Source organism: Homo sapiens, chromosome 4 (genome assembly GCF_000001405.40).
Source record: "Homo sapiens chromosome 4, GRCh38.p14 Primary Assembly".
NCBI classification, from domain to species: Eukaryota; Metazoa; Chordata; class Mammalia; order Primates; family Hominidae; genus Homo; species Homo sapiens.
This window is the reverse complement of record NC_000004.12, coordinates 76,331,212-76,358,675: the sequence shown is the minus strand read 5'-3', so window position 1 is coordinate 76,358,675 and position 27,464 is coordinate 76,331,212. Positions and strand designations below refer to the sequence as shown.

The window sequence follows — 27,464 nt, the reverse complement described above, 5'->3', positions numbered from 1 at the left end:
TTTGAAAGAGGAAAAGGAATTCAGCAGGTGAAAAAGGGGTGCAAGGGACATTCCAGGCAGAGAGAACATTATGGGCAAATGCATGAAGCCATGAAATATCAAAATGTGACCTCAGAAGTATTAGCTGGAGCAAAAGTGAAACGAATGAGGGCTAAGAAATAAGGCAGAATAGATAGGTAGAGCCGGGTAATGTGGAGCCCACAAAAGATATTAAGTAGGAGATTTTTTGTCAGATTTTAGATGGACTGTGTCAGTAAGTAAATTAGAGAAAAGAAAAGCAGACCAAGCAGTTAAGGAGGATTTTTGCAGTCGTCCCAGATAAATAGAATGAGGACTTGAATTAAGGCAGTGGCAGTGAGAATGGAAGGAAAGAATTAAGGATATTTTTGGAGGTTAAATCAACAGCACTTAGTGGTTGGAGGGATTAAGTGTAGGTTTCAGGATTTTAGTTTGTGGTATTGGAAAAGCAATGTAAGCAACTGGGAGAGGGAACCAGAAGGAAAGGCAGGCTTGAGGGCTGGAGGATGAGATGTAGGCACTGTGAGGCAGTTGGTTTCAGGTGGCACGAGGACATCTACATGGAGATGTCTGGACAAATGGAGCTGGAGCTTTGATCCTTTTCTATATAAATCTAATCATATAAATAGATACATATAAATAAATATGTGTGTGTGTGTGTGTGTGCACACATGTGTGTATTGTAGTATATCAAATGATGAGTTTGTGCCAAGTATTTTCACAGATACTGGAGATAAGTCAGATAAGACAGATGGCAGCCTCAGGTTACTTATAGTGTCATGGAGATTCATCTACCAGCAGATGGTGGTTAAATCTACTCTAGTGAACACGGTCATCCAAGAAGAAGGTTTAAGATGAGATAACTGCAAACTAATTATAATGTTTGGGAAAAAACAATGAGTAATAAGTGGGTAGAGGAGGAATAGGATCCACCCAAGCAGATTAAAAAGAAAGGGTCATATCCCTGGAATTGTGTATGTACATCTCATTTCTGTAACAAAGGAAGATGTAATTAAATGACTTCTCTTCCAGTTCTAAAATTCTGTGATCATTAATTACAAATAAAATATACTTAATTAACAATGGGATAGAAAAAAGTAACCATCTATTATTGATTATCACATTGTATAGAGGAGTATGAAGTCTTAAAAAGGAATTTCCGAAACAAAAGTGAAGAAATGGAAATGACTACAAATAAGTTGAAAATGCAATTAAAATCTGCACAGTCTGAACTAGAACAGACAAGAAATACATTAAAGTCAATGGAAGGATCTGATGGTCATGGTATGCTCTGTTAGATTTAAAATTTTTTCTTCTGTTTTTAATTTAATGGACTAAATTTGTTAAAACAGAAACTCAAATACGTTACCTACCACCTCTTCACAGTGCTAAATGATGTAAGAAATATACAATAGTAGGTATTAATGATGGAGGTTATGTAGCAGTAGTTAATTGTTTTTAGGAAATTGCCATGGAGTTAATTTAATCCCTAAACTATCTGAATCTTTCCTTTCTAGTGGCTATTTCAGTAATTTCTAACAGATCTCAGTATCTATTAACGTCAAGTAATTATTTTTAAGGATATAAATACAAGTTACCTGTAATTTCCATTCAATCCTTTATTTTTCAACATGTACACTATATAAACTGTAGGTCCCTGGCTAGTTGGCAGTTCTTGATTGCTTCACCGTGATAAAAATGGGAAGGAATCCTGGAAATTGAATTGTTAGGTGAGGGGACCTTCTCACCACCCAGATTTATTCCCCTTTTACCTTGCTGCCCATACTAATGCAGAGAGATAAAGAGGTTATCTTCCAGTTCATGTTATTCATATAATTGTTGACATGACCATATTAGCTGACCATAAAAATTAATATTTATCTAATTAAAGTATATACTTTTCCATTTCTCAATATTTTTTAATGTCAGAAGATTTATTTTTGTGCTCGCTTTGGCCGCACTTATACTAAAATTAGAACGATATAAAGAAGATTACCATAGTCTCTGTGCAAGGACGACCACAAATTCTTGATGTGTTTCATATTTTGTGTGGTTTGGCCCTTTGCTGGTTAACACAGATAAACTTGTTGGGTTTGGAGAAGTCACTCGAGAGGTCTTTTGGGGTCTGCTGCCCCTGCTCCCCAGACAGCAACCCAGCCTCACTGTTGGGCATCTTCACAACCACCCCAGGGACATTACAATTATTAAGTTACCTAGAGAACCCTTGTGTTCTCATTCAAATTCTTGTTTCTATTTATTAAATCAGCTTAAAATAAAAAAAAAAACATTTGTTTTAGAAAATTTCCTTTCAAGGCCAACCATGATCCACTTAATCAGACCATAATTCTTCAAAGTGGTGAGCAAATGATGTCAGACTTTTACCCTATTAATAAATCAATATACAGTGTCAGTTTAACCCTGTTTTGACAGTTTAGATAGAAGAACTGTATCTTGTTAATGAGAAGTCAGACCTTTCATTCTGATAGCTTGTTTATAATGAATGGTATATTTTCATTTTTCTTTTTAACCTCTAAGTTATAGCCAGACTGGACTCAAAGCTGTGGCATTTTCAATCCTTTTTCCTCAGCTGACTATAAGAGAAAAAATCAGATATGCTTATGCTGGCAGTTTGGCTACTGAGATGGTAGTGAGTTCCAAGCACATGACAACAATCATGAGAATAAAAATTGAAGGGTTTGTGATATCACTGGACCCTTTAAAAGATACACTAGATGTCTTGTGCAGTATTTTAAGTATGAGGTTCTTGAAAAATCATTTTAGTAATAATACAATATATATTATTATTTATGTGACACCCCCCATGTCTACACACACACACACACACACACACACACACACGTACATATATTATATATTATATATTTCCCTACATGGGTAAGTATGAGTTTAGTCAATGTTATTGTTATTACTGGAAAGCTGGCAACGTATCATGGTCAATGAAATTAATCCCAGTGGCAAAAACCCTACAAAACATGATTATATGTATGTTTCCCAGCTAAAAATCTCTAGTAGTAGTTAAAAGTTATTATATTCCAACATTATAAAAACCGAAGACATTCGTCCATGATCTTTTCCTTGAAACTGCCCAGATACCTTGGAGGATCTTACTTGTCACCTTCTCATAAAGTTTAACCATCAAATTACCATAGTCTCTCAAACTTAAGAACCTAAGGCATAGTTTGCCTCTTTTTTTTTTCCAGCTATGAAAGTGGCAATGGGGATGCAAAAGCAAATCACAGCCAAAAGAGGTCAGATAGATGCCCTTCAGAGCAAGATACAGTTTTTGGAAGAGGCAATGACAAATGCAAATAAGGTGGGTTGCTGTCCTCAGAGTGGGGAAACCAACATGTTCACTCACAGGCAGACCACGAGGCAGAATAAGATGAAGCAGAGATGCAAGTGCAAGGGGAAAAGGAAAGCTTATTTCTAGGTGAGAGAACAAGGGAAAAGTTCCTAGAAAAGCATTTGAGCAGGATGTTGAAAGACAGCTACTATTTTAAACGTGGGAAATGGGAAAAAGAACATTCTTGGTAGAGGCAAGGAATGATTATAAACAAAATACAGTGAGTTCCATTATAATGTGACATACATGTTTGTAAAAATCGCTGTGCTATGCAAAATTGTGTAATAAAAACCACAGGGCTTATGGGAACAATGGGATCAGGAGCACCACACTAACAAATTTTATTAGTGACACATAAAATAATAGGAACCTAATAAAAACAATAGCAGTTTTACACATACTAAATTGTTAAGAAATATATAAATACAACAATAAGTATAGCTCTTTGTCTTGAAAATGACCTGAAGTTTTCTTAAGTATATATGCAGCTCGTATGTTATTGTGGAGGAGTAGGAGGAGAGTTTCCTGTAACACCGGATGTGGATGGATGTGGTTCATAACACATGGTAAAACTGAGGTCGCCGGTAGGTGGGTGTTTGAGGAGTGTGCATGTATGCTTCTTGTGTATTCCTATGCTGCTGTGTTTAGCTGGATTGAGTTTTCTGCCTTGACCTAGTGGTTCTCATGAATGAGACTCATTCACGAATAAGCAACCATGAAGTTTGCCTAATGCTCAAATATTCTCTGGTATATCCATTACTTTGGAAAAAGCGTCTATTTCAGAAGAAGATTTATAACAGAACTGACCATAATAGAGGTGAAAAAGTAAATGACAAGTAGAAAATAAGTGCAACCAAAGTAATTGCTAACTTACTATCCATGATGAGCTGCCAAAATACTTCAGAGTATTTGCAGCTAAATATTAGCAAATATAAACCTACATTTGTGCATACCCCTTATCATATAGACTTATTTCTTCTTTCCAATTTTTTCTTCCCTTCCTTTCTCTTATCCTGAATTCACTTTTTTCTTTCTCCTTTTTTTTTTTTTTTTTTTTTTTGCCTTTGGGAACCTAAAGCAGTGCTTATCCTTCCTGATGGCGCTTATGGCTTTAAGAGGTTACTGCCTGCTGTCAACAAAGATGCCTGCCTTGCCTAAAGGAAAATATTCATCGTAGCTCTAAGATATTCCCTCCAAACAAAAAGGAGAAAGCCTATACAATTAATTCCTCTTTCCTTCTGAAGTCTTTTCTGCCTAATCTACTCAGAAAAGGAAAACTTTTTGCATTTTACAGTAGCAACACCTTCTACCTTATTTACAATAAATGTTTTTCACTATGAAAAAATACATAAAGAAATGTAGACTCAATGCACTGATGTATTTTAACTTGACAACTATACATTTATTATTTTTGTATACATATTCCATGGCGCTTTTTTGGAGGGATGAACTAATTTTAATGAAATGTTGTTTAATAGCAGAGACTATTGTATCAGTAAGCTCACTGTCATCATTGGGCTGTTAAGTGACTTGAGCGCAGGAACTATATGTCCCATTTGTTTTTCTGTCGCAGGTATGCAGTAGGAATTTGTGAAATGAATATTCAACCTTGAAACAAAATAGAAATCCATAAAACTTTCAAGTAATGCATCTTTTAAAAATCTCTGTTGTTTAAAATAAATTTTAGTAAAATTTGATATACGATTATTTGATCCTAATTCACTAAAACACTGTCTTTTTATGACAATATAGTTATTTCATATTTTGTAGATTTTATCAAAGATTTATTAAGACTAGAAAGAAGTAATAATACCAGCAATGATTAAAATAGGAGAGAGTACATAATAACATACTCCCAGCAGCTCCCAACCACAACTCAGAAGCAATTAAATGGCATATAAATTAAACTTACCTAGTTCAGGGTCCTTTAAACAAGAATTTTATATTTCCATTACCTTTCAGCATCTACATCAACAGGTTATTTCTGATGTTTTTCTCTCATATAATTGTAGGAGAAACATTTTCTGAAAGAAGAGAAAAGTAAACTCAGTCAGGAATTGAGTACTGTTGCCACAGAAAAAAACAAGATGGCTGGGGAGTTGGAAGTTCTGCGATCTCAGGAACGCCGTTTGAAAGAAAAGGTTACTAATATGGAAGTGGCTCTGGATAAGGTAATTATTAACTAAACATATGAAGTAATTATCAACTAAATAGTTATTAACCAAATAGAATTGTTCTGAACAAAAGCTCTATGTAGACAGGAACTGAATGTATCAATTTGTGTTGTATCCCAATCACCTAGCACAAAGGAAAACCCTATCCTATTAGAGAAGGCGTTTCTGAATTTTAAAATGTGGTCATAATGCATACTTTTTGCCAAATTTTCTTTTTCAGGCTAACATAGTCACAGGAGCAGTAAGATCAAAGATGTAAGATGTTCCTGATATCCATAGTGACATGAATAAGTAAAAAGGTCTCCATGAGCACCTGATTTACCACCAAAAAGTGACTTGGGTACTTGGTAGAATACAGTCTGTTAATAATGTCAATAAAATGATAAAGTAATGCTAATGGCTGGCACTTTGTGGGGTCCAGAAGGTGCATGTAGGAAACATAGCTTAAAGAATGAGAAGGATCAGTGATACTTTTTGTCATTGCCGTTTATTGTAGAGAAATAAATCTCCCTTCCTGTCACCTAGAAACTCTGGAAGCCTAAAATTGTACCAAAACCATCCTTGATTGCTAAGAAAACAGTGCCTTTATGGTTAGATACAATAATCTGGGATCTCATCTCTGCTACCTTTGTTTCTTAAAACATGCTATATTGACTCTGTGAATTTCAGTTGTGGTTATTTTTTAAAATTTATTTTATTTTATTTTATTTTTTTGAGACGGAGTCTCGCTCTGTCGCCAGGCTGGAGTGCAGTGGCACGATCTCGGCTCACTGCAACCTCCGCCTCCCGGGTTCAAACGATTCTCCTGCCTCAGCCTCCTGAGTAGCTGGGACTACAGTTGTGCACCACCATGCCCAGTTAATTTTTGTATTTTTAGTAGAGACGGGGTTTCACCATGTTGGCCAGGATGGATGGTCTCCATCTCTTGACCTCGTGATCTGCCTGCCTCGGCCTCCCAAAGTGCTGGGATTACAGGTGTGAGCCACCATGCCCAGCCAGTTATGGTTATTTTAATATAAATTTTTATACTTTGGTAAAGCTGTTTGCTCATTCCATCCTTAGTTCATTCATTGTTTGCCCTTCACATACTAAAAGTTACGTATTTGCTGGGGGTATAGAGGATAAAAACATGGCCTCCAGTTGCTCACAGTTCACTAAATAAAACAGATAAATAGATCATTGTAATATAGTTTGGTAGAAGGGCAGGAAGATTTTTTGAAGAGATGGCAGCTCTGCATTCATAGGTTAATAAAATATAAGTGCATAAAGAATGCAAGATAAACCATTTATGATTGCTCCATTTGTAGGCATCTTTGCAGTTTGCAGAATGTCAAGATATAATACAGCGTCAGGAGCAAGAATCAGTGCGCTTAAAACTTCAACACACTTTGGATATAAAAGTAAGGTCATCATAAATATTAGTTTAAGCGAAAATAATGCCGTTCTTTGATATGCTTTTATATTTTCTTGTGTACCTTAGATACACATTCAAGTATATTTCAACATTACTTGATACTATTAATAGCAATGATAAGATGTGTACATTGTTATATACTATACCTATCCTTTTCATATATGGTAACAAATAGAAGCACCACTATCCTTAGTTTAAAATAGGTGAGTTTAAAATAGGTGAGTTTAAAATAGGTGAGTGAAGGTACTAGTGAAGTTTACGAGTACCTGCATGGGAATACCCAAAGCAAGAGTTTTCCATGCTCAGGAGTCAAGCGAGTACAAAACCCTAAGTGCAAATATATTTGCTTGTTTGGGGAATAGCAAAAGTGATGTAATCTACATGACAAAACGTTTTTTTTTTAAATCGTACATTTTACACTGAAATATATGTCTATTTTAAGAAGTGTACTTTAAAGCTACAGACATATTTTAAAATCTCAATAATGGATTTTGCCTGTGAAATCAAAAAATACATTTTGATTTCACATTTCTTTATAATTGTAGGCTGGCAGTTATTTTGCTTACCTCTATATTGTTTTCCAGGAACTTCAGGGCCCTGGATACACCTCAAATTCTTCATTGAAACCACGCCTTCTCCAGCCAGCATCTGTTACTCGTTCTCATTCTAATGTACCATCTTCGCAGTCTACAGCCAGCTTCCTGTCTCATGTAAGTAACCAGTCTTATGATCCATTACGCAAATGACATATGCGTAAGTAATTTTAAATTGGAAAGAATTACGTTAAAAAATAATATCTCTATATCCATAGCATTTTCAATTACTAGATTTTAGATTTATACATTTTCCTATAAATTCAATGGAGTCCAGGTGAATAAAAATATTTTCTTCACTATTTGGTGTTTTCTTATCTTCAATTCTTTGGTTATTTCCATCTCAAGAATTTCCAGATTACAAAGCAAATAGTGAGATGGCTAAAATAAACATCACTTCAAAAGGCAAAGGCAAGTTGGTGGTATATTTAATAGTCTACCAAAATGAAAATTATTTGCTATATGTGGTTTCTTTGTTAACTTATTTATAACAGAATTTTATTAATTATAAGACACTTTTATTCCCTTTAATTAAAATATTAGAAACTTTGGAAATTTTTTAGTTTAATCTTTTATATTTTTAATGCTCAGAAAAAAAATATGTGCAATGTAAAATTCAAGTTTGTTTTCTCTGAAAATATGTATTTATGAAACCACAAATCCCTTGCAACCAGTATTCAACTGTAAAGAAATAAGGCATTCCATAAATCACACATGAAAATCAATTAAATTAGTTAAAAGTCCTATCTTACATATGGCAACAGGATCACCAGTAATCTGTTGTTTCACCTGTACCATTTAAATGAAAATTATGTACTGTTTAAATGACTAAAATGGAATCCTCTCACACACTTAAGATGTGTGCGCTGAAACATAAACTATCATACAACAAAGAGTAGTCTATCAAACAATAGAATAATAATATTAGTGTTAGAAGTTAAGCATGTTTCCCTCTGGACACTGAAATTCAGAGATGCACAGGGGAAGGGCAGGAGACTGCTGCTTTTTAAGTGTTATGAAATCATTTTATTTTTAAAAATATGTACATGTTCCATTGATAAAAATTAAATTAGCCTCCCCTTTCCAAAAGTAATTTTGCACATCAAGCAACAACAAAGAACATTTGACCAGGAGTCATTGGAACCATATTTTTAACTCTTTGTGTGACCTTGGGCGAGTCAGTTAAATATATTGCACCTTGATCTTTTCCTCTCTAACAAGTAGTCTGGACAAGATGACCTCTAGGGTCACCAAGAAAGATTAGCTCTGAAATTCTGTGATTTTTAATTACCCAAAATCTATTAGATTTTTCCTAGCAGCTTAATATATAGATTGTACTTGATTATTAAGAATGGCATCCATCACTGAAAAAGTACTAGTCATTAGCTTGTTTAACTTTAAATTTTAACTTAAGTATTTATTTGTTTATTTATTTATTTTTTCCTGAGACAGAGTCTTGCTCTGTCACTGAGGCTGGAGTGCAATGGTGCAGTCATGCTCACTGCAGCTTGAACCAGCCAGAATCAAGCAATCCTCCTACCTTAGCCTCCCTAGTAGCTGGGACTAAAGGTGCGTGCCACCACGCCTGGCTAATTTTTGTATTTTTTATAGAAACAGAGTTTCACTATGTTGCCCAGGCTTGTCTCAAACTCCTGGGCTCAAGCAATCCTCCCACCTTGGCCTCCCAAAGTGCTGAGATTACAGGTGTGAGCCACTGCTCTTGGCCTCAGCTTAAGTTTTTAAATAATAATTCTAACAGCAAAAATGAACTAGATTTTTAAAATATACTGTCAGACATGCTTTATACAATTAATTCCTTCTCTTAAAAATGTTTATTATATAATTTTACACAATAAAAGTAATATTCATTCTTTGTTTTGTTCACTGATGTTTCCCAAGTACCTATAACAGTGTCTAGCATATATTCAATAAATATTTATCTCATAGATGAATGAATTCACTGTAGAACATTGTCTTCAGGTCTCCATTACTTCCACTGATAAGTCAATTGTAAATCTTGTTGTTGCTGTTTTGGAGGTAGTTTTTTCTCTGACTGTTTTCAAGATTTTCTCTTTGGTTTGGTGTATAACAGTTTGCCTATCATGTGCCTAGATGTGCTGGTCTTTATATCTATCTTTCTTAAGGGTAGTGGTCTTCCTGATGCATGGATTGAAATCTTCATCAATTTGAGAAAATTTTCATCCCTTATCTACTCAGTTTGTTTTCTCTATTTTCTTTTTTCCCTCTGGGACTCTAACACACGTATTAATTGTTTATTCATCATGCCTTATATGTCTTTATATCTTTACACTTTTGCCCATCCTTTTGTCTCTCTGTGCTTTCCTGGCCTATTTTCCAGATAATTAATTCTCCCTTCACCTGAGTCTAATCTATTAAACCCATCAATTAAGTTCTTCATTTTAGAAATTGTGGTATTTAGTACTAGATTTCCATTTAATTCATGTTTTTTAACAAGTTCTTTACAGAAATTCTCAATATTATCTTTTACTTTTTTGTATTGTTAAGTATATGTTATGGTCCACGTGTTTGTGTTTTCCCTTAGATTCATATGTTGAAACCTAAACCCCAAGGTGGAACCAATGGGAGGTGATTGGGTCATAAGGGCTCTGCCCTTACAAATGGTATTAGTGCCCTTTTTTTTTTTTTTTTTTTTTTTTGAGACAGAGTATTGCTCTGTTGCCCAGGCTGGGGTGCAGTGGCACAATCTCAGCTCACCACAAGCTCCGCCTTCCGGGTTCACGCCATTCTCCTGCCTCAGCCTCCCGAGTAGCTGGGACTACAGGTGCCCACCACCTCGCCTGGCTAATTTTTTTTTTTTTTTTTGTATATTTAGTAGAGACGGGGTTTCACTGTGTTAGCCAGGATGGTCTCGATCTCCTGACCTCAGGATCCACCCACCTTGGCCTCCCAAAGTGCTGGGATTACAGGCCTGAGCCACCGCGCCCGGCATTAGTGCCCTTTTATAAAACAGGCTTGAGAGAGCTTGTTTGCCCCTTCTCCCATGTGAGGACACATAGAAGGTGCCATCTATGAGGAAGAGCTCCTCACCAAATGCTGAATCTGCTGGCATCTTGATCTTGCACTTCCCAGCCTGAACTGTGAACAGTAAATTTCTGTTGTTGATAAATTGCCCACTCTAAGATATTTTCCTATAACAACCCAAACAGAGTAAGAAAATAACTGTTTTAAAAATTGGCACATGATAATTATATGATTTGAATCCCCTCCGAGCCTGTGTCGATTTTTTCCCTTGGTTTCTAGTCACTTTGTTGTTTGGTCTCTTTGCTTCCTCTTTAAATAATTGAGTCTGGACACTGTATGTGAAAAAATTACAGAGATAATTTTGGGTTCTAGGCGATTTTGTTTCTTTTTTTAATTTTTAAAAATTATACTTTAACTTCTGGGATACATGTGCAGAACGTGCAGGTTTGTTACATAGGTATACATGTGCCATGGTGGTTTGCTGCACCGATCAACCCGTCATCTACATTAGGTATTTCTCCTAATGCTATCCCTCCCCTAGCCCCTCACACCCTGACAGGCCCTATTGTGTAATGTTCCCCTCCCTGTGTCCATGTGTTCCCATTGTTCAACTCCCACTTATGAGTGAGAACATGCGGTGTTTGTTTTTCTGTTCTTGTGTTAGTTTGCTGAGAATGATGGTTTCCAGCTTCATTCATGTCCCTGCAAAGGACATAAACTCATCCTTTTTTATGGCTGCATAGTGTTCCATGGTGTGTATGTGCCATGTGCCTGGATAGACTGGATAAAGTCTATCCAGGCACATTATCCAGTCTATCATTGCTGGGCATTTAGGTTGGTTCCAAGTCTTTGCTATTGTGAATAGTGCCGCAATAAACATACATGTGCATGTGTCTTTATAGCAGAATGATTTATGATCCTTTGGGTATATACCCAGTAATGGGATTGCTAGGTCAAATGGTGTTTCTGGTTCTAGATCCTTGAGGAATTGCCACACTGTCTTCCACAATGGTTGAACTAATTTACACTTCCACCAACAGTGTAAAAGCATTCCTATTTCTCTACATCCTCTCCAGCGTTTGTTTTTTCCTGACTTTTTAAGATCGCCATTCTAACTGGCATGAGATGGTATCTCATTTTGGTTTTGATTTGCATTTCTCTAATGACCAGTGATGATGAGCTTTTTTTCATGTTGGTTGGCCTCATAAATATCTTCTTCTGAGAAGTGTCTGTTCATATCCTTCACCCACTTTTTGATGGAATTGTTTGTTTTTTTCTTGTAAATTTGTTGAAGTTTTTTGTAGATTCTGGATATTAGCCCTTTGTCAGATAGATAGATTGCAAAAATTTTCTCTCATTCTGTATGTTGCCTGTTCACTCTGATGATAGTTTCTTTTTTTTGAGACGGAGTCTTGTTCTGTCACCAGTCTAGAGTGCAGTGACATGATCTTTGCCCACTGCCACCTCCGCCTCCCGGGTTCAAGTGATTCTCCTGCCTCAGCCTCCTGAGTAGCTGGGACTACAGGCACGTGCCACCATGCCCAGCTATTTTTTGTATTTTTAGTAGAAACACGGTTTCACCATGTTGGCCAGGATGGTCTCAATCTCTTGACCTTGTGATCCACCCAGCTTGGCCTCCCAAAGCGTTGGGATTACAGGCGTGAGCCACTGCATCAGCCTAGTTTATTTTGCTGTGAAGAAGCTCTTTAGTTTAATTAGATCCCATTTGTCAATTTTGGCTTTTGTTGTCATTGCTTTTGGTGTTTTAGTCATGAAGTCTTTGCCCATGCCTATGTCCTGAATGGTATTGCCTAGGTTCTCTTCTAGGGTTTTTATGGTTTTAGGTCTTACATTTAAGTCTTTAATCCATCTTGAGTTAATTTTTGTATAAGGTGTAAGGAAACAGTTTCAGTTTTTTGTATATGGCTAACCAGTTTTCCCAACACCATTTATTAAATTAGGGAATCCTTTCCCCATTTCTTGTTTTTGTTGGGTTTGTCAAAGATCAGATGGTTGTAGATGTGTGGCGTTATTTCTGAAGCCTCTGTTCTGTTCCAGTGGTCTATATATCTGTTTTGGTACCAGTACCATGCTGTTTTGGTTACTGTAGCCTTGTTATATTGTTGAAGTCAGGTAGCATGATGCCTCCAGCTTTGTTTTTTTTGTTTAGGATTGTTTTGACCATATGGGCTCTTTTTTGGTTCCATATGAAATTTAAAGTAGTTTTTTCTAATTTTTTGAAGAAAGTCAATGGTAGCTTGATGGGGATATCATTGAATCTACCAATTAGTTTGGGCAGTATGGCCATTTTCACGATATTGATTCTTCCTATCCATGAGCATCAAATATTTTTCCATTTGTTTGTGTCCTCTTTTTTAAGATTTGTAGAAATCAAAATATTTATTCACATAATTTTAAACTAAAGTTAAAGCTAATAAATCTTCCATGGTAATGATTTAAGTGCAAGTGATGCTTGGCTTTCTTTCACATTCATTTATTTTCTTCTGAGTGAAGGCATATCAGTTATTCTTGAACAAGTCAATACAGCTCTGCAAAAGGGAGTCATTGTTCCTGGCATGTTTTATTTCCAGTTCAGACATTTCAATGAGAATCTTTCTAAATGCTGCCACTCTCTTCGGTTTGAAATTTATCAGTTCTTCTTTTGCAGATTTGGAAAGCTGTTCAAATTTCAGGCAGCACTCCTGCTGGTGTGCCTCAGCCAATTTGACGTCTTTGCTCTTTAACCGGGCCTTATCCAGAGCTTTGTTTGAGTTCTCATAATCAATGAGGGCTTTGGTGTGTCTGTATAAGAGATCCTTAGCAGCTTCGATGTTGAGCATGTAGTATCGTTGGAGCTCTGTTAGCTTCAGATCTTCATCTGATGAAACTTGACCCTCTACTTTCCTAAGTTTGTCAAATAGCACAGCAACCTTCAATAGGTACTTTTTGATGACTGTGGGCTCTTCTAAAGCCAGGCAATGTAAGCAGGCTGCAGTGTGGATATAGACATCGGCAACAATTTTTATGAGATCTGGTCATTTTGTCAGCTTTCACACAAGAATCGTTGATCCTATTGTAATAATTAGTAAGGAAGTTCTTCTCTTGCTCAAAGAAGTCATCTACCTCCCTAACTCCAGTAAAAAGGACTTCTTCAGCACTTTTCACCACACTTTTGAAGAAGCCACCAAACATTTCTTTAGTATTTTTCCACCTAACACTTAGGCTTCCAGTTCTTGTTTCATCTTGGCAAATTCTTCTTTGGTCATAGACCCTTCACCCTCTCCCGGTTTCTGCATCTTCTCTCGAGGACCATTGAAGTCGGGCTTCATAGCAGCAGGTGGAATAATAAGCCCAGCATAGTCTGTTGTTTCAATAAGAGTGTCATGTAGCCACACAAAGTCTTCATGTTGCCTTGTAACAGAAAACTCTGGGCTCTGAAACATGGGCAGTGTGGTCTTTGTGTGCACTGTAAATTTGACTTTATCTCTCTCACTGAGCACATCAGGTATGTCAACCTGAAGCGAGGGATCAACATTCAGGTCCAGAGATACAGATGTCAGCTATTCATCAGCTTCCCAGCTGGGGCACATCAGGCACTGGCTGGAGGACAAGCCTGTAGCTCTTGAGCTCCTGCCCACCAGTCTTCATAAACTCATTTTTGGTCCAAACTTCACTTACAACTCACTGTGGCACAAGACAATACCACCAGCAAAGCTGCCTCTTCAAAAGATTTAATGGCTTACATGTTCGTGTCCTCCCTTATTTCCTCGAGCAGTGGTTTGTAGTTTTCCTTGGAGAGGTCCCTCACATCCCTTGTTAGTTGTATTCCTAGGTAATTTATTCTCTTTGTAGCAATTATGAATGAGAGTTCACTCATGATTTGGCTCTCTGCTTGTCTATTACTGGTGTATAGGAATGCTTGTGATTTTTGCCCATTGATTTTGTATCCTGAGACTTTGCTGAAGTTACTTATCAGCTTAAGGAGATTTTGGGCTGAGGCGATAGGGTTTTCTAAATATACAATCATGTCATCTGCAAACAAAGACAATTTCACTTCTTCTCTTCCTATTTGAATATCCTTTATTTCTTTCTTTTGCCTGATTGCCCTGGCCAGAACTTCCAATACTATGTTGAATAGGAGTGGTGAGAGAGGGCATCCTTCTCTTGTGCCAGTTTTCAAAGGGAATGCTTCCAGCTTTTGCCCATATTTTTTGTTGTTTTCTAAAGTCTTCTCTTTATGTAGCTTTCCGTTCTTTCATGGATACAACACTTTCCTGGTTTGTTTGTTTGTTTGTTTGTTTTGTTTTTTGAGATGGAGTCTCACTCTGTCACCCAGGCTGGAGTGCAGTTGCATGATCTCGGCTCACTGTGACCTCCGTCTCCTGGGTTCAAGCAATTCTCATGCCTCAGTCTCCTGAGTAGCTGGGATTACAGGCACCCGCCACCACACCTGGCTAATTTTTGTATTTTTAGTAGAGATGGGGTTTTGCCATGTTGGCCAGGCTGGTCTCAAGTGATCCGCCTGCCTCGGCCTCCCAAACTATTTGGATTACAAGCTTGAGCCACCATGTCCAGCCAATACTTTCTTGCTTCTCTTTAAGGATATTAACTTTGGTTTTTAAATAATTTTTTGTGTTACCTGAATTATTAATGTTTCTTGGAATTCATTGTTTTGTTTTTGTAGACTTTCTTTTAATGCTTGGTGACCCTTGGATGTCCATTCATATTTAAGACTGAGGCCCTAAAAAGCTATCCAAAGCTTTATGTAAGGTTGTCAGGGCTTTTCAACTGGTAGATGGTTAGGTAATGCTTTTTTATTGAAGGACCCAAAAATTTTCTATAGGTCTTTATTCTTGGGCTGATCAGTTTCCCTAAAGAGGGATCTCTTATTCCTGACTTATAGGTATAAATCTGTCAGAATTCTGTGACGTGAGTGGGAGAGGAAGTCTAGGGTAACTATTAACATATATCTATGCAGTCTCACTTAATACTCATATTTAACATTTGCAACCTTACTCCTGCTATACAAGATAGATATCTCTATGGAGTCCAAAGTCCTTTGGTTCAACCTTACCCAAAGATTAAGCCTCTAAATTCATTTAGGGGGAAAGAATGAGTAATCACCTGAGTATATGGAGACAGCTTCTGGGATTCTAACAGCTTCTCCTATAGACTTAGCCAATCCTCCAATTTTGCTGCCCTGTTTCTTACCCTGGACTTTGAAATACATGAGACTTCCAATTCGTGAGCCTTCCTGGAATACTCAGAGGCATGGTAGCTTGCTTCACATTGGCAGCTTCTGTGCAGGTACTGTAAGTTTTAACTTCATTTTGCTAAATTAATTATGAATTATCCATATGCCTGCCATCTCCCAAAATTTTGTTAGCATTACTAATCTATTATTATCTGTCCTTTCCTCTTTACCCTTCTTAATTCCTTTAGTGTCATTTTAGTGGGGCTTAAGATAGTACAGAAATTAATGCCAAGTTTATAAGCAGAATATTACTGTTTACATTGTTCTACATTGCCCCTTCATTTATTATTTATCTTTATTTTAGTCTCTTTATTTTACAATTCTAATAATAGCTTAGATTTACTGAAAACTCCTTTGCCAGGCACAGTGCAAAGTACTTTGGAGATTAGTTCATTTCCCACAACTACTTAACATGAGGTAAGTGCTATTACTATACCTGTTTTACAGACAGGGGAAATGAGGCTTGAAGAAGCTAAGTGACTTACACATGGTTTACACAGCAAAAAGACACTTGAGTCTGGGCACTGTGGTTAATGCTTGAAATTCCAACACTTTGTAGGGACTGAGGCTGGAGGGTTGCTTGAGACCAGGAGTTTGAGACCAGCCTGGGCAAAGTAGTGAGACCTCGTCTCTACAAAAAATAAAAAAATTATTCAGACATGTTGGCATTTGCTTGTAGTCCTAGTCAGGAGGCCGAGGCAGAAGGATTGCTTGAGTCCATGAGTACGAGGTTGCAGTGCCTGGGCAGCAGAGTAGGACTCTCTCTCTCAAAAAAAAAATAATAATAATAGTAATAATTTCGGCAGGACTTATCCAGACAGCCTGAGTCCAGAACTTATGTCCTTAATTATTATACTGTACTGTTTCTCTACATTATACAGCTGATTGATGTTTATAAAAATAATTTTAAGTTGATGACGTAAATAGATACCCTATATGAACTATTATTGTATTTCATTAGTCTTTGTGAATGAGGATCATAGAGTTTTAAAGATTCAAAGGCAGTTGAAATTATCCAGGTGATTTTCTTGTGTTAAAAGTAAGAAAGTAGGAAAACCAGAAAAGTAATATTATGTGATTTGGCCCAAACTCAAACACCTAGAACATGTTATTACTGTATCTTTGTGTGTGTACACACATACACATATACATACATATACACATATATGTAACTGATAGTTTGATATAGGAGCATTTTAGATTAATATTTCAAATACAGGCTATTTTAACATAAGAAATAAAATATATCTAGGATGATAGAATTGATTTTGGTTGTGTATCAGATTCTATTCCTATGCACTACAATTTGTTACTACTGTGCTTGATCTTTGCCAATGAAATATACATGATGTGGGCAAGATTTTTAGCAATGCTTCGTAACTTTTTTCCTGTTTCCTGTCCATCTATTCCTAATATATTATGTAAATGGTATACTTATATTCCATTTTTATTACAATGTTCTAAAATATAAGAGATGAGTTTGGGGCAGACATTCTCAAAATAGAATGGTTGAATTCAAGCTGAATGAGATCAAGCTGTTATTTTTAGCTTTTTCATTTATCTTCTATCTTTGGAGAATGGAGACAGAACTGGTTGAGGAGTACACTCTCCCTAGGCCTCACTTATCTTACATCATGACTGATGACTCATAAGTTTGCCTGTAATAGACTTAAGGCCATTAGAAAAAACAGTATTGGAGAAGATAGAAGTACATTAAAGATATAATTTATGAAAAATTTTAGAAACAAGTCTAACATAAAATGATTTCAGAGTCAATGTTTTCAGAGTCACAATGTAATAGGAAACTAACCAAACCACAAAATAAACCTTAAGCTTAACAACTTATTGTATAAGCTTGTATTCTTCCCATAGCACAAAAAGCTGTACAAGTTTTACCCTGCAAATGTATGTGCCCTAGAAATAGCCTTAATGTGTCTCCTAAGGCAGCAGTTCCCAACCTTTTTGGCACCAGTGACCAGTTTCATGAAAGACAGTTTTTCCATGGAACAGGTTGAGGCGGGGGGTGATTTTGGGATGATTTAAGTGCATTACATTTATTGTGCACTTTATTTCTATTATTATTACACTGTAATATATAATGGAATAATTATACAACTCACCATATTGTGGAATCAGTGGGGTCCCTGAGCTTGTTTTCCTGCAACTAGATGGTCCCATCTGGAGGTGATGGGAGACAGTGACACCCGAAGGGTGTTGCTTATGTCCAGTCTACTCCCTAATCTCATCTGGTTGCTGTCACTGCAGAAAACACTGCTTCACAAAGATAGGATGTTGGAAATGGAAGCAGGCTTTTCCATGCTTTTGTGGCAATCTCAGAATATTCTGCCTTGACTTTAATCCAGAATATAGGGAGATTTGAAGTTGTCTCAAACATACTTTTAAGGCCACTGTCATTTGCAATCTCAAGAAGCTGATCCTCTTCTAGCATGGACAAAGCCAGTGCACCTGGTTTATTCACAAATGGGTGACGGATCCATTCCTTCCCAGTTTGGGGGCCTTTTGTGGTTGGGAAGTAATGCTTAAACTCTTTTGAAAGCTGAGATAGGTGATCATGCACTAGCTGGGAGAAAGGAGGCCCTGGCACAGCCTCTTTCAAAATCTCTGATAATTTTGACACATGTCAAAAATCCCAATGTTAACTCATTGCTCCCATAATTCCAGTTTGACTTTGAATGCAGCCCCTTTATCTGCCAACTTGAACATAGTTGTTGTTCTCCCCTGAAGTGATAGATTTTGTTGAGCAAGTTGAATATGTCACACAAGTAAGCAAGTTTTGTGACCCACTCTGTGTCACTGAAATGTGCTGCCAGTGGTGATTTTTTCTAAAAGAAATCTCTGGAGCGGCTCTCATAACCCAAAAACTCTGGTCAGTGATCTACCTTTAGAAAGCCATCTCACTTCTGTGTATAAGAGAAGACGTGTATGCTGTGGGTGTATCTCCTCTCAGAGCTGTGTGAAAAGATGAGTTAAAGGCATGTACTTTAGTGTGGTTAATAATTTTAATCACATCCTGCAAAACATTGTTAAGTTCAGGTGACATTTTTCAGCTAGCCAGCATCTCTCTATGGAAGACACAGTGCATAAACTCACATTCAAAATCGACCTCTTTGACCAGAGCAGTGAAACCAGAAAGCTGTCCAGTCATGGCAACTGCTCTGTCCATGCATATACCAACACAAAATGACCAGTTTCCCTGATATGTAAACATTCAAAGACTTGAATAGTTCTGCAGCTGTGGTGTTGGCTGGCAGTAAAAGCACACATAACATGTGCTCCTGCACATCCTCCTGAAAAATACACAGCACAAAACAAGCATTGTTGCCTTGTTGTTAACATCAATAGACTTGTCAATTTGGGTTGTGTACCATGGTGATTCATTAACCCTCTCTAACAATTGTGCCTCACTATTCTCTGCTATTTCATCTGTATGTCTAGTTACGGTGCTAGCTGAAAGAGGAACACATGTCACCTTTTGAACTGCAGCTTCTCCTAAAAGTTCATGACAAATGTATGTAGCAGCAGGCAGGATCAGCTCTTCACCAATAGTAAGGGGCTTCTTCACTTTCTCAATACAGTTAGCCACTAAGAATGATGCTCTCGGTGCAGACACATTTGACGAAGTGGTGGCATTCAATAATTGCTTCTGTTCTTCATGTTCATGGTTTTTTTTCTTTTGAAAAACTCCAAAGGCTTGTCTTTTAATGCATGGTCCTTTGTCTCCATGTGACAAAGCAGTTTTGAAGGTTTCATGGTTTCATTGGATAGCCGGTCACCACATATTATAAAAAGAGGGCTTCGAGAATTTGAACCGTCTATTGCAATGAACCTGTAATTTAAGTAGGACTCTTGGTATTTTCTTTTCAATGCAGCTTTCTTTTCAATGCAGCTTTCTTTTCGTTGGCAGTCTTAGAGCCTTCTGCTGTCTCATCATTGGGTCTTTCCCCCTTTTCAAAGAAGCTTTCCAGTGATGATTGTTTTTATCCATTTTGGCTAGGGTTCTCTTGTGGGCTTACCAAAACTGACTGAGACAAGTGTGCAGTGCAGGAAAGAGGTACAGGCAAAGTGGTAAATCAAATAATGGGCAGGACACACATGGACAAAAATCAGTGTCTAGTTCTGACTTAAACCCTGCCACCAGGTGCAGCTGTACAGTTGAAGTACATCAACTCACTTACCACTATAAAACCAGCCACCAGATGCAGCTTAATTGTTACTTGCCACATACTGATAGGGTTTTGATAAGTCTGTGAGCAATTGATTTATTATGGTCTTTGTGCAGTCAACCCTCTCTGCTAATGTTTTTCATTTTGTTTTTGTTTTTTTGAGACGGAGTCTCTCTCTGTTGCTCAGGCTGGAATGCAGTGGCACGATCTTGGCCCACCACAACCTCTGCCTCCCAGGTTCAAGCGATTCTTCTGCCTCAGGCCCCCGAGTAGCTGGGACTACAGGCATACACGCTACCATGCCCAGCTAATTTTTGTATTTTTAGTAGAGACGGGGTTTTGCTATGTTGGCCAGGCTGGTCTCGAACTCCTGACCTCATGATCTGCCCACCTCGGCCTCCTAAAGTGCTGGGATTACAGGCGTGAGCCACTGCACCCGGCTTTTGCTAATGTTAATCTGTATTTGCAGCCACTCCCCAGCACTAGCATCACTGCCTTAGCTCCACCTCAGATCATCAGGCATTAGATTCCCATAAGGAGTGTGCAACCTAGATCTCCTGCATGTGCAGTTCACAAGAGGGTTCGCACTCCTATGAGAATCTAATGCCACCCCTGATCTGACAGGAGGTGGAGCTCAGACGGTAATGTGAGTGATGGGGAGCAGCTATAAAGACAGATGAAGCTTCACTCACTCTCCCATCACTCACCTCCTGCTGTGTGGCCCCATTCCTCACAGACCATGGGCCGGTACCGGTCCAGGGTTTGGGGACCCTTGTTCTAAGGATCAAAGGACTGGGGTAGGGGAGAGCAGGATCCTTTGTTGGGCTCTGCTAACTTCAGGAAGAGCATGTGTTTATTTCTTTACAAGCCTGATAAGAGTTATATGAAACTATATTTTAGAACCATTTCCTAGCTATTTTCTTCTTTTTTTTTTTTCTTGAGATGGAGTTTTGCTCTTGTTGCCCAGGCTGGAGTGCCATGGCACGATCTCGGGTCACTGCAACCTCTGCCTCCTGGGTTCAAGCGATTCTCCTGCTTCAGCCTCCTAAGTAGCTGGGATTACAGGCGTGCACTACCACATCCAGCTAATTGTTTGTATTTTTAGTAAAGACGGGGTTTCACCATGTTGGCCAGGCTGGTCTCGAGCTCCTGACCTAGGTGATCCACCCGCCTTGGCCTCCCGGAGTGCTAGGACTACAGGCATGAGCCACCACACCCAGCAGTGCTATTTTCTAATTTTAAAAAGTGTATTTTGCTCATTTTATAAATCAAGGTATATTTCCTATGAATTAACCAATGAAGTATTTAACATGAATTAATAAAACCATTATAAGCTATGCAAACATTAAAAAGAAAGATTGATAATTTTGACTAAATAAAATTTAAATCGGCCAGGCATGGTGGTTCACATGGGAGCACTTTGGGAGGCCGAGGCGGGCAGATTGCTTGAGCCAAGGAATTGGACACCAGCCTGGCCAACATGGCAAAACCCCATCTCTCCAAAAAATACAAAAAAACCCAAAAATAGCCGGGTGTGGTGGCATGCACCTATAGTCTCAGCTACTCAGGAGACTGAGGCAGAATGATCAATTGAGCCTGAGAGGTCAAGGCGGCAGTGATCCGTGATCGCATCACTGCACTCCAGTTTGGGTGAAAGAATGAGACTCTGTCTCAGAGGAAAAAAAAAGACATTTCTATTGTTGTAGTGAATACCCAAAAATACAAGGTATAGGACACAGAAGAGGAAGCTTATTAAGAACTTCTGGAAAAGACATAAGGATTCTGAGTTGACTGCCTGCTCAGTCTCAGTCGGCGTTATTGTGTGGCAACCAAAAATGGTTTCAACGATAGCATCCAGATCAAGCAAGGGGGACAGTTCTCTGCTCTGCTCAGAATTTTCCTGAGAACATTTAGCTTGAGGTGTGTGTCAGGAAGTAAGGAGGGGGTGTATGAGTGTAGGATAAAATAAGTATCATTTTTACAAGGTTATGTTATGCTTGTTTCTTATGACCCCAGGTGTTAGAACTGTGACCAGGGTTGGAAGGTGTATGGGTATGGAGGGAAGCTTTTCTTTAAAAGATTTGAAGCTATACAAAAATTAAACTGCCTTCCTTGATCTTTGGTGATCAAGCAAAGGCCAGATAAGCATATTACTAGAATGCCGTAGAGAGAATTCTTCATCACTTTTGATATGGGAGTTGGACTAGAACCAAATGATTTTCAGGACGCCTCCAGCCTTGATATTTTTGTGGTTTTATACCCAAACAAATTATGGGTTATATGTAATGGAATATATAAAGACAATGATGATCAAATCAAGTCCTTGCCTCTGTGGAGCTTACATTTTCACTGGAGGAGCAACACACATAGAAGTTTGAAAGGTAAGTATTGGGATAAAGTCAATAAAAGAATGTCATAGGACTGATTATAATTAATTTCTAAGTGAATGGTAAATTGAATGGTTTTTTTTTTTTTTTTTTTTTTTTTTTTGAGACAGAGTCTCACTCTGTCCACCAGGCTGGAGTGCAATGGCACAATCTCGGCTCACTGCAAGCTCCGCCTCCTGGGCTCATGCCATTCTCCTGCCTCAGCCTCCCAAGTAGCTGGGACTACAGGTGCCTGCCACCATGCCCGGCTAATTTTTTTGTATTTTTAGTAGAGATGGGGTTTCACCATGTTAGCCAGGATGGTCTCAATCTCCTGACCTCGTGATCTGCCTGCCTTGGCCTCCCAAAGTGCTGGGATTACAGGTGTGAGCCACCGCGCCCTGCCAATTGAATGCTTTTTCAAACCTCATGTCAGCCAGCACAGTGGCTCACACCTGTAATCCCAGCACTTTGGGAAACCAAGATGCGTGGATCGCCTGAGTCCAGGAGTTTGAGATCATCCAGGGCAACATGGCAAAACTCCATTCTACAAAAAAGTTAGCTGGTCATGGTGGTGCAGGCCTGTAGTCCTCAGCTACTGGGGGTGCTGAGGCAGGAGGATTGCTTGAGCCTGGGAGATGGAAGTTGCAGTAAACTGAGATCATGTCACTGCATTCCAGCCTAGGTGACAGAGTGGGACTCTGTCTCAAAAAACAAAACAAAACAAAAAAACCTTATGTATTGTAAAGCATCAGTCACTCTCAAAGAACCTAGGTGCCACAATGACAGGGGAGAACAACATATTTATATATGTTTATGGGTTTTACATTGCTCACTTATAATAAATGTCAATGGCTCAAAAATTTTAACAATAATTGCCAAAGCTTATTTGATAAACTTTCTGGTGGGCAGAAGATGGGAAGATAAGAAGTCCAGGTTATAACTAAGGTGAGTGAATATTGCCATAGGATAAGTTTTTCTTTATTAACTTTATGAGGTTTTATTCCATATTGGGTATTATGCATATTAGCGTGAGGGCAAGAACAAAACCAGTGTTTCGTAAAATTGGATCATCTTTTTAGAGACAAATGTTTTTATTCACAATTGACAAAGTGATTCACATCCTTATATTTTTAAGCAAATGAAGTCAAATTTAATAATTGAGTGGAGTCTAATTTATGAAACTTTAGACTGACTCATCATGACAATTTCCAGGTAAGATAGCCATCAGTAAACTGGAAAGACATACTTAGCACACATTCAGTGAGTTGGAACTCTCATATCTTCAGCTGGATATTATATTGGTTTATTAGTGGAGTTGAGAAGAGGAGAATATGAGAATTATATTATACCAGTAACATCAGCTCTTCGTTGGCATAAACCCTAGAAAATTAAAGCCCAGTGAATAAAAAATCTGCAGTGTTCATCCCTCAGCAGCCAATCTGTGTGACAGGTGTAACTTTTCAGTGGGATGGACTCCTTCAGCTAGAATAGCTCAAGGATAGCCTGAGTCTACCTGCTCACCAGTGCACTCTGATCATTTGGTTTCCCCTCTTGATGTGCCTATTGAAAATGTCAGTATTCCTTATTATATTATAAATATTTATTGGGGTACACTATCAATCTGAAAATCTCATATTATTCTTAAACACCAACTAACACAGTTTGAAAATATTGGATGTTTCTTTCCTCATCAGTAAGATGTGGGGAGTAGATTAACTCATCTCTAAATAGCTCCTTAATTCTCAGGTTTTGTTGCTTTATCAAATTAGTTTAGCTTTAAACAAAGTATTGAAAGTTATTTTGTCCAGGTGTACTTGAAAATATTTAATGACATAGTAAGGATGTTCATACTACATTGTTAAAATTTTAAAACAAAAGTAGTTTAAAAATAAATGTAAGTAGTTTGGCCCCATATGTGTATATGTGTCCATGCACATATAAATTAGATATAGTACTCTATTGATTATTTCCTGGTTATTATTGATTATCTCTGTGTAATAAGCTTGTGGGTGATTTTTTTGTTTTCCTCTTCTTGCTTTTCCATAATTTCTGTTTACCAGTTGCATTAATTTTGTGATAGGAAATAGCATAGAAATCTGAAAAAATAAGTGTCTTTGTAAATTGTTTTAACTCAGCACTCTACAAAAGCTAACACACTGAAGGAAGATCCAACAAGGGACCTGAAACAGCTTCTCCAAGAGTTGAGAAGCGTGATCAATGAGGAGCCAGCTGTGTCTCTGAGCAAGACAGAGGAAGATGGAAGAACATCTCTGGGAGCCTTGTATGTGGCTGTGTAAGGCTGTGTGCACACAGAATGGGAAAGCTCATCTCTTGAATGGTTTGCCATTGAGTTATTCACATGTTACTCTCTGGGAGGGTGAGGTTTAAATGACTTTAAAAGTATCTGAAGTTACTACCACAGAAAATAATATGAAAATGGAGGAGTTAAGCAAATGTAAAACAACTTGACACTAAGAGAAAACAATACAGTCATTCTATTCAGAAAATACCCAGTGCAAGGTGTCACCCAAAGTTATGTTTGTAAATTTTAATTCTCAAAAGATTTTATATCCATAATCTTATTGATTGAGACAAGGCAGAGCAGGGTTTATTTATCCCATTTTGTAAATGAGAAAAACACATCTCAAAAGGTCGACGTGTCTGCAGCCACAAGTTCAATGGTGGAGATAAAACTAGAACCTTGAGAACTATATACTCTCCAAGTAGGAGATAATAGGAAATACTTCGTTTTCTCTGTATTCATGCCAATGACTTGATTTGATTATATCATATTAGTAAAAGATTAGATCCAAAAAGAATTTAGCCAGTTCACCAGCCCTTCTTTGCACATAGCTACAGACAACAATGGGAGTCTCCTATTCTTTCAGAGAGTGGGTTTTACTTTTTTGTGTTATCATTTAGCTTAGCTTATCTTAAAGCATTTTAATATGGTATATATATTTTAGTGTTATAATAGCCCATTATTGTAATATTCATTTTCTGATTATATGACAAATACCTAAAAGTAATACTTCCTGAAATGATACCTATATATAAATAATCTCCAGTTTCTTATGATGTCCAATTCGTATTTACCTGAGGTAGCAAAATATTAGCTGAGTTTATCTAATTGTTAATTATTAGTAATAATAGTAAAACATTAGTAACAGTCCAGTTACCTTAGCATAACATTACATTATCTGAAGCACATAATGTCAGAACTGTCCCACTAGCCACTCCAACGAACATTTTCATTTTCAGAGCACTTTCATTTTTGTCATAACTATAATATGCCTTCCAAACCAGGGCAGTATTATTACACTTATTTGACAGATTTGTAAACTTAGGCATATATTGACATGCCTCCTCCTATGAAGCAGAGGAAAAGCCAGAAGTAAAAGTTACAGACCCTTGCTCCCAGCACTGATTATTCTGAGGGATTACCAGGACTTCCCTGATCAGCTTCCACCACTCCAGCCACTAATGATGGGCTTGGACGCTATTGGACTGTATTGAACGTGAATATATTTGATCCCTACCTTTAGAGAGTTTATGTTAATTTGCTATAATCCTATAAATGTCCTTGTCACTAAAGCCTAAACTCAGCGTAAAGCTTTTAAGAATTCATGGGAGGAAAGCATTTCTCTGTCGATGAACTCCAGAGCCCTTTGCAAAATTTGCTTGGAGGCCTAAAATCTACAGCTGTCACTAAAAGAAAAATTGAATATATGTAAGCAATTGATTAGTCTAAAAAAGACATGGATGAAATTGTGCTTTATATGATTAACTGAGAGTTATATTTTCTATACAGAGAGGATAGGGTAAGAGATTGCATTACTGAATCCAGCCTGAGATCAGACATGTGCCATAGGTAAGAAGAATCTGAGATTCTGAATCAAATTAATTGTCCAAATATTTTATATGTGGCCTTGTAATTTGAGAAGTCTGTTTGGACATAAGTTTACATGACACTTAATGGGCATATTGGGTTCGTTGTTTAACTGACTTTAAGAAAGATTTCAGTGAAATGTACTGAAGTAATTTAGTTTCTAGAAATCAACTCAATAGACATTTTTTCTTTAAAATTTGCTGATGTTTATCCATATGAAGCTATTATTATGGTATGCCATATCAAAAATGGAAGACTTTTTCTACATTTACACATATTTACAATGGCTTACATAACTTTTGAGAAAAGGATGATTCAGAAGGAAACTGTAAAAACTTCAATTTAGGACTATAAGCACCTTACTGAAAACCATCCTATTTTCATCAATAATTGAATAGCTGAATTCTTAAATGAAAAATTTTAAAAGCACAAAGAAATGAAATCCATAACTCCAAATAAGACCATAATCAAAGACAGCTTTCAAAAATTGACTTTAGCCAAAAAAGAAAAAAGGCTAATGTTAATTCATTATTTATCGTACTTTAAGACACTATAGCTATTACTTGAAAATCTTCAGTAGCTCCTCACTGCCTACTGCATTAAGTACATGTCCCTCAGTCTGACATTGAAGAATCTCCCAGAGTGGTCACACGAATCTCTCTTGTGACCACTCTGCTTTCACTCCTGTATTATCCTCTAATCAAACCAGACTCCTCCTGATTCCCAAAAGTTCATTTATTTTTGTCTTCAAGCTTTTTCTCCATTCTGTTTCCTCCACCTGGAAGAGCCAATGCCCCATTCTCACTCTTTTGAATCCATATCTATCTAAAAGTAATGTTGAGAGAAGCAATTTTATCATTAAGTTAATGTTTATGATTTATTTATCCAGCTGTCAGATGATACCATTTCACCCTACATAAGAATACATTATTTTTCTCACAAACTTTTGTTATATTGGTAAGGAAATAACATTATTTAAACTGTGATTTCTCCCATCCCTCTACCAACAGAAGCAACAACTCGTTGAGGGACTCCACTGAAGGAAGCAAATCAAGTGAAACTCTTAGTAGGTAGGAAATACCAGCCCCCATTTTCAAAATGTCCCTTTTACGACTGTTCATTATTAATTCAAAAGATCTTTAACTGTCTGTAATGTGCCATGCACTGCAGTAGACCCTTAGAATATAGTGAGCAAGACAGAT

General features: G+C 37.5%; 1 protein-coding gene and 2 pseudogenes across 15 annotated transcripts in view; 2 read left to right on the top strand and 1 right to left on the bottom strand.

Annotated features, from left to right (window-relative positions):
- Positions 1-27,464, top strand: part of CCDC158 (coiled-coil domain containing 158) — a 108,831-nt gene that overhangs the window by 63,194 nt on the left and 18,173 nt on the right. For 10 of the 15 annotated variants that reach the window (XM_011531911.2, XM_011531917.2, XM_011531909.3 and 7 more), the window contains 8 exons: positions 1,150-1,302; positions 3,240-3,352; positions 5,395-5,553; positions 6,864-6,956; positions 7,555-7,680; positions 24,509-24,666; positions 26,185-26,244; positions 27,273-27,332. In XM_011531911.2, the coding sequence (XP_011530213.1) occupies positions 1,150-1,302; positions 3,240-3,352; positions 5,395-5,553; positions 6,864-6,956; positions 7,555-7,680; positions 24,509-24,666; positions 26,185-26,244; positions 27,273-27,332 (922 nt within the window). Of the gene's footprint in view, positions 1-1,149; positions 1,303-3,239; positions 3,353-5,394; positions 5,554-5,776; positions 5,812-6,863; positions 6,957-7,554; positions 7,681-24,508; positions 24,712-26,184; positions 26,245-27,272; positions 27,333-27,464 lie in introns of those variants that run through there. The other 5 variants (XM_005262974.5, NM_001042784.1, XR_938729.3 and 2 more) reach the window with 4 other exon arrangements.
- On the top strand, positions 1,961-2,066 carry RNU6-1000P (RNA, U6 small nuclear 1000, pseudogene; annotated as a pseudogene).
- SNX5P1 (sorting nexin 5 pseudogene 1) lies at positions 12,942-14,141 on the bottom strand (annotated as a pseudogene).